General features: G+C 36.3%; 1 protein-coding gene across 1 annotated transcript; it reads right to left on the reverse strand.

Moving 5' to 3' along the window:
- Nucleotides 1,571–9,598, reverse strand: OR10K2 (olfactory receptor family 10 subfamily K member 2). The gene is made up of 2 exons (NM_001004476.2): nt 9,294–9,598; nt 1,571–4,288 (listed from the first exon to the last, which is right to left on the reverse strand). Exon 2 carries the CDS (start codon nt 4,225–4,227, stop codon nt 3,289–3,291), a length of 939 nt encoding a protein of 312 aa, NP_001004476.1. The 5' UTR covers nt 4,228–4,288; nt 9,294–9,598; the 3' UTR covers nt 1,571–3,288.
- Between the last annotated feature and the right edge of the window lie 813 nt (nt 9,599–10,411).

The raw sequence follows: 10,411 nt of genomic DNA on the forward strand, positions 1-10,411 counted from the left end.
ATTAAACCAGTTCTGTTTGAAATAATTGCCATTACTTTTGTTTTATTGGCTTACCCTTGAGAGTTAGAGCCTCGGACATAACAGAATATAACATTGAATATTGAGTGTGGGTAAGCACTTTAGACTTCCATGATATGTGGGAGAAACGGAATGCTCAGCATAAGATGGAGTGAGTAACGGAAGTGGTACTCTGGTAGAGATTCAGGATTGGCACATGTTCTCACAAGTGGGAGCTAAACAGTGGGTACGCATGGACATAAAGATGGAAATGGCAGACACTGAGGACCCCAAATGAGGGAGGGTGAGAGGGAGGTTAGTGCTGAAAAATTATCTATCGGGTACAATGTTCACTGTTTGGGTGATGAGTACACTAGAAGCCCAAACCTCAGCATCACACAATATATCTATATAACAAACCTGCACATGTGCCTGTTGAATCTATTTTAAAAAAAGCTTTTGGTTTGAGGAAGAGAAAGTAGGATCAATTGAAGGAGTAGGAGGCTGGCAATCTAGGGGAGAGATTTGGGAAGAGATATCTAAAGGTGATAGTTGGAGTGGAATGTGATTCTTCGCTAAATGTTTTTTTGAAAATAAAAATTTACCTGAGGGGTTGGATATTGGTTTATATGGGGCACTGAAAACAGCTATTATGTGGGTTGCCTTCTGTTAGTGTAAATGTGTACTTGTCCTGGCACTTGGTGAGAGCTGTCTTATGATTTCAATTGTCATCGATCTGTTCAATGTTAAAGGATGTCTTAGAAAATCAGTCCAAAGCCAGCCTCATAGGCTACAAATCTAGTTTTAGTGCTATTATAATTTTTTGTGGCCAAGGTAACAGAAATTCCATAATCCTAACTTGGTATAACCTTTTCTTTTCCCTATAATGTATTCAAAAACATATATACATAATAGACTATGATGAATGGGAATTCAAAACATCAATTTATTATTATTGGTTGAGTTTATGCTTAAAATTCAAGTGCAGATTTCTCTGTAAGCTAAACAGGCATATGTGGCCTAGTTAGAAGGCCTAAGGGACTTTACTCTCTTGCTAAGGCCAACTACAAATCTAAAAATCTTACCCCTCTCCTGCAAATTACATATGACTGGACAATAGAGATATGTGTGTATGCACATGTGTGAAAAGAGGAACAGAGAGAGCAAGATGTTCAGTTTTAACACATGGGAGTGCAGGCCAATGTCAACTTAATTTTTCATTCACATGGAAAAAATAAGAGGAAGGATAAAATGCCAGGAGAGTCATTTTTTATATTCATGACCTTTTAACACAAAGTGGTCCTGCCCACTTGTCAGTGTTGTGGTGTCAGACACCAAAATAATAGTATCCACAGCTCTTGGAAAGAAACAAGGTTTAAAAGACTATTTAACATCAAGAGTATATCTTCCCACAGATGACCCATGGCTTAATCTTCTATTGTTAAAGGTGAATACTTACACATTCTACTCCATTAATTAAAAAAATCACAGTCTTTTCAAGAGGTCATGTGAGAGCATTATAAAAGCATTAATAAAGAAAATATATCGTGTGGACTCAGTATTAATTCTTTTACTCATTAGTAGGCAAGTCATTTTATTTGTCTGAGTGTCATTTTTCTCATCTACAAAATGTCGATTATAATATATACTTCCCAGTGTGCTCTAAAGTTTAGATGAAGTAACATTGTTAAACTGTAGCACACAATGCAGCTATAAATAATTAACACATTAAACTTAGCTCATTTACTTTTCATGAATCAACTTGATATGCTAGAGGCCTGGGGTGGGCAATATGGCCAAGGAAAAGACAACTTGGGGGCCACTGAAATTAATTTTGCATCAATCTCTGATTTTCAACCCCCATCAGCAGCAAGTTTCAAGCTTCAAAGAAATGGAAGAAATGCAATTGACTTACATTCTTGGCAGATGTCCTACAATAAACAGGGCCTGTGAACAAAACATTCCACTTCCTTCCCTCCCGCTTCAACCCCTAAAAGGTATATGTCATTGATGAACAGACTGGTGGAAGAAAAGGAAAAAACTTAGAAACAAAATTAATCAATCAGGAGACTTTTATTGACAGGTGGATCTTGAAAAGAGTTATAATGTGAGAAATCATCACTATTGTGAAACTTCCTTTTTGCTATCACTCCTGCAGAAAGGACAGAGAATGAAAACATCAAATTCAAGTTCTGGTCTCAAATGTACATGCAAACTCTTGAGTTGCATGGAGAACAGATTGATTGTTCCATATGCAAAGCTTTCCACTTGGTGAATATTTAGTGAAATTGACTTAATCTTTAGCTTGCCTTGCCTGGTCATTTAGGGTGATTTTAGGTCTTGTCATTAATCCATTCCCCTGTGAATATCTTCAGGGTATGCTGACCAAATTTAGATGTATGCCTCTGCATACAAAATTAGAAATGATCGTATTTCATTAATACACTAGAAGCATGGAAATGGATAACTTTTCATAATTTTCTAACTTGAACATTATTTGGATATATCTTATGCATCAAACATTGTAATGACGCTTAACAAGTATCTCATTTAACAATTGTGATCTGATGATTTTGGAAGACTGAGGTCCAGAAAACATCTAGAAAAATCCTAGAGATAGAAGCTTCCTGAGTCCCTAGAACAGAGAGTTAGGGTTGTGCCACATTTTGCAGGGTTAGTTTTCAGCCTGGCTGAGATTGGGTGACAGTATTTACTACAGCCTAAAATTCTGAACATACATATGCTTCCCCATAATAGCCATCTGTTATTTTTTAATCAATTGAAAAAAAACCTTCAATAGGCAATAATTCATGTGAGTGTGGCAAGCAGTTGTGTTTTTCTAAATTTTATATTTGGAGATGACGGGAAATGATCTATGTTCCTGAACATAATGCTCAATTGCTTGATCATTTGTGTTCTGGGAATTTTTTCCTGTATAACTTGTGGTTTACGGTTTGGAAAGAGCAGAATCAAGATTTTTTTTTTTTTTTTTTTTTGAGACAGAGTCTTACTCTGTCGCCCAGGCTGGAGTGCAGTGACACAATCTCACTGCAACCTTCTGCCTCCTGGGTTCAAGTGATTCTCCTGTCTCAGGCTCCTGAGTAGCTGAGATTACAGGAGCCCACCACAGCATCCGGTTAATTTGTATATTTTTTGGTAGAGATAGGATTTCACTATGTTGGCCAGGCTGGTCTTGAAGTCCTGACCTCAGGTGATCCACCTGTCTCAGCCTTCCAAAATGCTGGGATTACAGTCGTGAGAAACTGCACCTGGCCAGAATCAAGATTAATTTTACAACAGGGAAATTGTTCTTCTCACAATTTTACAAAGAGCTGATTTGAACTCTTTATTTCTCAAGCTATAAATCATTGGGTTGAACAATGGAGTTATAATAGTGTAGGATACTGATATTAGAGCATCCTGGCTTGAGGAGTAGTTGGACTGAGGCCTTAAGTAGATAAAGGAGGCACAGCCATAGTGGACAGTGACAATAATGAGGTGAGATACACAGGTAGAAAAAGCTTTGCACCTACCCAGTGTGGAAGGAAACTGAAGTATGGCAGAGAGGATGTGAACATAGGACACCAAGATCAACAATAAGGGGATAGCCAGGACCAATGTACAGAGCATGAAGATGACAATCTGACTAAAGTGGTTATGGTGAGATGCCAGCTTGAGGACAGGAGCAATGTCACAGAAGAAGTGATGTAGTTGATTGGAGGAATAAAAAGGCAGGTGAAATACCAAGGATGTGATGATCTGTGCAACAGTGAAGCCACAGGCACAGGCAGCAGCCACTAGTCCCATACACACCCCATGTCCCATTAGCACTGAGTAGCGCAGTGGGTTACAGATGGCTATGTAACGATCATAACCCATGACTGCCAGCAGAAAGGAGTGAGAGCAGCCAAGGAAGAGGAAGGAAAACATTTGGATGGCACAGCCCAGGAAAGAAATGGTCTTCTTCTGGGACAGCAGGTCAACCAGCATCTTGGGTACAATGATGAAGGTGTAGCAAATCTCAGAGCAAGAGAGGATGGCAAGGAAGAAGTACATGGGGATATGAAGGGCCCTGTCCAGGACAATGGTGGAAATGATGATTGCATTGGTGCCCAGAGTGAACAGGTAGAGGAGCAGGAAGATAACAAAGAGCAGCTGCTGCAGCCTGGCCAGGGATGAGAAGCCGAGGAAGATGACCTCTCTCACCACAGTCTCATTGACCCGCTCCATGGAGCATACATCATCAGGAGACAATTAGGGAGAGAAGAGGAGTCAGCACCAAAAGAAATCCCTGAAAATAAGTAGATTCACAGAAAATTGATCATCAGCATGCGTTCTCAGATTTTGAATTCTGAACTCATCTTTTCTCCTCCCTCTTGTTTTTCCAAGACATGATGTTGCTAAAATCAGGCAAGCGTTCATCAAACTTTGAGTCTCCATAGTAGTTCTAACACCATAGCCAAAAAGTTCTTGATACTTTTCAGATTCAAACAACCCTTCACCTCCATTCCCATCATGAGGCTGTTGCTCAGATTCTTAGCCTTTCACTCTTAGATTATCTTGCAAAGCTTGTCTTTTTGGCTTTCTTGTATCTGTATTCTCTCAAAAAAAAAATCTTTCCTACAGTTGCAAAGTAAACCATCTGAATATACCATAGTTGTCTATAACTCAATGGTTCTTAATTGTCATTCTCGTTACACCTAAACCCCCACTCTTAGTTTTAGTCTCTCCATAACTTAGATTCAAATTCTCTTCAACACTGTTTTCCTTACCTCCTGGCAGGAATTGTCAGTTATACTTTTATTATGCTGGCTCTTGTTTCTGTAGCTTTATCCTGGTCCCAAAGTGGAAAAAAATTATCTTCTTCTTTCTATTCATTAATTTCAAGGTGGAATATGTCTACACTTTCTCTAATACCTATATCAGAGTCTTTCCTCTGGCAGGGAGGACCACAATCTTTCTTCAGGATTCTGTCCATTTTCATCACTTCCCTTAAATCCTTCTGAAGTCACATTATGGCTCCTTTCCCATGGCCACTCTTACATCTCTGCAACCCATCTTTCCCGTGATGACAGCCTAATCTTTTAAAATATAAATTGTATTATATTGCTTCACTCTTCAAAAATTTTACTTATGGCTATAGTATAGAGTTCAAACTCTTCATTGTTTCCAAAAGTCTTTCCTTTGGGGAAATAAACTATCTTTCTGTGCTCATTTTCAGACCTTAATGGGATGTATCACTATTGCCCAAATATGTTCTGGACTTCCTTGCCTCTATTCCTTGCTCATATTAGTTTGTTATTCACTTTTATTTACAGATATTTTATGGTTCTTCTGAAGCCTCCATTAAAATCTACCTTTTTGAAAGCTTTCTTGCTACCTTCTGGTGAAAGGAGTTGTTTCTTCCTCAGAACTCACATAAGACATTGATTGCCAAAATTATGTGATATTTACTTAATTTTGAAATATTCTAATGAATTGTTCTTATATCTATTTTCTCTACCAGATTTTGTACCTTTGAGGAAAATATGTGAATTTTATGTATCTTTGCCTGAGTTCTCCTCTGCATCTAGAACCATATTAAGTACTTAACACCTTCTCAATAAATAATTGTTATATAAATAAGAGAGTTAACTTGCCACATTATCTATTTTATTCATGGGCAGCACAGACTTCTTAGAACTCACAGAGTAAGAGAATTCTCAGTGTTATTTCTTTCTAGGCACAAGAATTGCTCAGTGTCAAGAATGCTAAGAATGTCTGCACCACATAAAACTAAGTCTGGCCCATTTAAATCTGAAAGAGAAATCTCTGTTTACAATAGAAAACTGGCACTGAAGAGAGCATCTGGTCATCAGAATTCTGTGTACCTAAGGTGATTCCCAATTCCTAGTACATTTGCTGCTCTGTAGAGCAAATTAGAATTCAAATAAGTGAGAGAAAAATCATAAAGATAACCTTACAATTATCCCATTAAAAGTATATTATTAAAATCACCTTAACTAATATTAATAACAAAATTAATGACAATGCATTTTTATGTTACCTAAGAACCACCAAATCAAGAATATCAGATAGTACACATGTATTAAGCAGTGTGATTATAACAATGTGTCAGCTACTAGGTCTGCAATGAAGATACACATTTAAATAAGACCCAGTCCCGAGCCTCTAGTTCATGTTTCAAGGGTGAGACCCATTCAGAAGATATTATTAAAAATGTGGTGATTGAGATGATGGATATGCATTTGAAATTATAGGAGCACTCAGGAGACATATCTTGTATACATCCTTGAAAAATGATATGTATTTTTTATTTATTTCTAGGTTTCTTTATATATGTTATGAAAAGGCTGAACTAAGTATACTTGGAGAAATATCATAACACAGGCACTATTTAGTTTCTAAAACTTTTAATCTAAATATATAAATAGGGCAAGTAAGTACATTTGCTTCTCCTTGCTCCTGGAAGAGTGCAAGGATGTTTTCTGCTTGCATGTTCTACTTTATATCACTCCCTTCCTCAACCCCATGAAAGGGGCAATCACCCTCCTCCTCCTCTATCTTATTCCTCTGGTTCTTCGCCCAATATTTTTTTTTTTTTTTGCCTAGGTGGTTGGCATATTTATTACTATCATACTATTAACTTTCAAATTCTATATTCTCTAGTTTTTAGTACTACTAATAAATTTCTACATGTAGAATCTGAAATTTTCCTCTCACAAGCACATGTAAAGTTGAGTAATGTAGGAATAAAATAGGCTTTACATTTTGACAGATGTAGGCTTTAATCCTGACTCTGGCAAGTTCTAGTGGTAAAACCTTAATAAATTCTCTAAGGCCTATTTTCTCATTTGTATGATAAGAATAATTCCTGCCTCCTGGGCTATCATGAGAATTAATTCAGGCAATATATATGAAAGAGATTTGTCCCATAAATAAGGAGTGCTTAGTAAGTACTTCTGTTTTATTACTTTATTGTTGTTCTATAGGTATTGGTATCAGAAATATTTTCATCAGTGAGGCAATAAGCATTTAACTCATGGGAAGTTATTGAAACTGATTTTTCTGTATTTTCTCAGGAAGAGAAAATTTAAGAGAAATTATTCTTCCCTTGAGGCTCTCCAAGCCTGACTGAAAGTAACTTGGTTTTCCACGGAGTTCTGTTTTGCTCTTGAAGGGAGGCCATACATATTTAGGCATCAATCTCAACAATTTATTGAGTTCCTAAAGACTGGGGCAGATTGTCTAACAATTCTCATGTTTTACGATTTCATGATTTCTGTTACTATCTAAGCACTATAGATATAATTATGAATAAAATCATTGCCCTTTTCTCAGAGAAGAATCAAACACCTATTCATATTATAAAATAGCCTATAAACATTATAAAATAAGTATAAACAAAATGTCCTGAAAATCTGGAGGAAAAACCCAATAATTTTAGAGAAGGCTTTGAAGAACAAGTAGTATTTGAATTTCACCTGTAAGAATTTTAATAAAAGTACTGGCTGAGTCTAAATGCCATTACTTATCTAGATATTTTGATTGAACTAACTAATCTTTTCTTTAATGTTGACTGGCCTTTCAGAATTAAAATGTAAGTTTACAAAGGCCCATGAAACAAGACACACTAATTATTCTCCCTTTTCTCTTCTTCTGTTTCCTTACAATAAACTTCATGTTTCATGTTGAGGTCACACACTCAAAAAACTAGCAAACAAGTAGACAAAAACAAAGAAAAAATAAACTCAGTTATGTTTTTTGGGAGCATTATTCCATTGTGTCTATCAATATTGCTTTTGATGTTTCCAGGAAGAAAAAATAGAACACAATTTTGGTATCAGTTTATTAATCAAAATTTAGAATTATCTTGTAATAATGTAAGGCAAGTTGACATTTATCACATGCTCTGTTTGTTCTAGATTTGGTGAAAATACTGTTACATATATTCTCTCATTTGGTCCTCACAGCAACCTTATGAAGTTTTTATTACTTTTAATATCTTTATTATAAAGATAAGAAATTTGAGAATCAGAGTTTGGGGACTCCTCTTAAGTTCACACAGCTGGTGGAACCAACACTAGACTACAGTACAATCTGTGTGTGTGTGTGTGTGTGGTGAGAAAGGGAAAGCAGTATTCAACACTCTCCTTCCAGATAAAGCTATTTCAAGGAAAAGACTTCTGCTACAATTTTGTTATGGCCTCAGTTTTCAACTTTGCTATGTATTAGCTACAGGACTTTGATGAGTCTGAATCAATTTTCTCATCTTTGTAATGCGGTTCATTCATTCTGATGTCAGCTAACCTAACTTTTAAGATTTCTTTAAAATGGATGAGACAATGCTTTTGTAACAGTTGAGTGGTTTCACAGACATTATTTATGTAAGTTTAACTTGGAATTGAAAAGGGGCAGAGAGCACTGCTAGTTTTGAGAAGAACATACCTTTCACATTGCTTCCTGTACCTTTGTTGGTTTTGGGAGGGATTTAATAAAATAAAGATCATTTCATTTTTCAGGACTGGGAAAGGTATGTTGCAGTAGTTCTTGTCTCTTACTCAAGAGGTCTCCAGAAAGCCAGAGTCACAGTTACAGCTGTATATGATCTTAAAGATCTAGCTTAGTAGTTTCATCAGACAGATGAAGAAATTGAGCTTCAGAGAGTGCTATGAAGTTTCTAAGACTAGAAAGCAACTGAGTGGATGTGTTAGCAATGGAACAGAGGTCTTTTCTCTTTCAGAAGAATGTGATTTCCACAGTATTATCCTGCCTTCTGAAGATATTTGTTTCATCCATAATTACTTTCTCTTTTTTGGCAGCAGTTACTTACGGTGTTCTTTTCCTAAGTCTATGTCCTTGTGCTAGTGTTTTTGCCTGTTTCTGTTTTTGGGTTCCCAGAGGGCAGGGTTTCTTAGTCTTTATATCTGTCAATTATAACTATTTTCAGAGCATTTATTAAGTTCTCAGCACATATTAGGTATTATATCTTTGTGTAGATCCTATCTGATACAGTCCTTTCTACAAAAACGTCATTATTTAAAATTTTTAATTAAAATATTGTTGAGTGCCCTGTCAAATTAAATCAGAACCAACAGAGTGCATATAAAAATTTAGAAAGAAAAATGAATCAGTTAATTTAAGAATATATAAAATTTATATGCACAATTTTGCAGAAAAACACTTTAAAACTTAAATAATCCTGATTAACATTATTTGATGTACTTTTAATTGTGAGTCTCTCTTTCTGTTATTGGTAGTACACTTGCATGGGCTCATCACCCTTCTTCTCTTACCTGAAATGTGAAAACATAAGTCCTGCCAGAGGATAGATGTTTATTTTCATTTCCTGTCCATTGCCCAGTTTCTCAAGGTTGTAGATGCTTAGTCCAAGCAAGATGGATGTCTGTTATTCATGGAGTGCTTCCATTTTTCTCTGCCTCTCCCTAAGAGAAGCCAGGGACATAGAGGCTACAAGAGACAGAATTCAAGTTGACGTGTAGAATGGAAAAAGGTCAAAATGGGTCACAGGCTACTGATATTTACTCAGAGGTAGAGATGTGATGATGGTCTATGGTCTTAGACCCAGACCAAAGTCAAATGTAACCAGTCTCCTGCCATTTTATGTCAATTGACTAAAGATCACAAGCCACAGCTCACAGTGACCATAAAGCAGTAGGAATTTTCATTATGTTTGTTGGCAGCAGGTGGTTCTTCTGTGGGTCTCCTGATGCCAAAGCCATTGCCATGGGGACATTGCACTGGGTTTAATTAACTACTGAGTTGATTGTGGAAAATAGAGGCAAGTCACTAAATGCCCAATTGCTCAAAACGGGGCCCAGACATTAGGGCTTAGGGAGCAGAAGGCTCTAAGCCATCCTCAGATGCAGCAATTTTAGAAAATGTGACTAATTTTAAGCTTATTTCTCATTTTGTTATGTTATTGAAGAGACAAAAGAGAATTTTTATGCAGACATTTTATAATAGATGCATTGTAAAACATGTTGGTTTAACTGAAAATCTGATTTTGTACTCATAATTGAAAGATAGTTCTTTGTTAGGCTGAGAAGGTAAACTGGGCAATGGCTTTTTAGAGTGAAGACTGTGCTCAGAATAAGCTGGAGGAGATTCAGTTCACCGTCTTAACCCCGAGTTGATTTTTTCTACCTTTCTACTCCATCATCCATAAATGAATATAGTGTGCTGTTATATGTATGAGACACTAAATAAACTTATGCTGAATATTGAGTGAATAAATGGTCGTATTCAACAATACCCCAACTACATAAATATCTCAGCTAAATAAAAATACCATCATTCATTTTCTGAATTCCAATATTTCTGATTTCCACTTTCCTCATGGTTCAACTGGCAATTAATATAATTTCTTTTTTATTATACTTTGAGTTCCGGG

Source organism: Homo sapiens, chromosome 1, assembly GCF_000001405.40.
Source record: "Homo sapiens chromosome 1, GRCh38.p14 Primary Assembly".
In the NCBI taxonomy this organism is placed as follows: Eukaryota; Metazoa; Chordata; class Mammalia; order Primates; family Hominidae; genus Homo; species Homo sapiens.

What these genes read in the sequence shown, in the direction of transcription:
- OR10K2 (NM_001004476.2), bottom strand. Translation starts at nt 4,227, where the DNA reads ATGGAGCGGGTCAATGAGACTGTGGTGAGAGAGGTCATCTTCCTCGGC.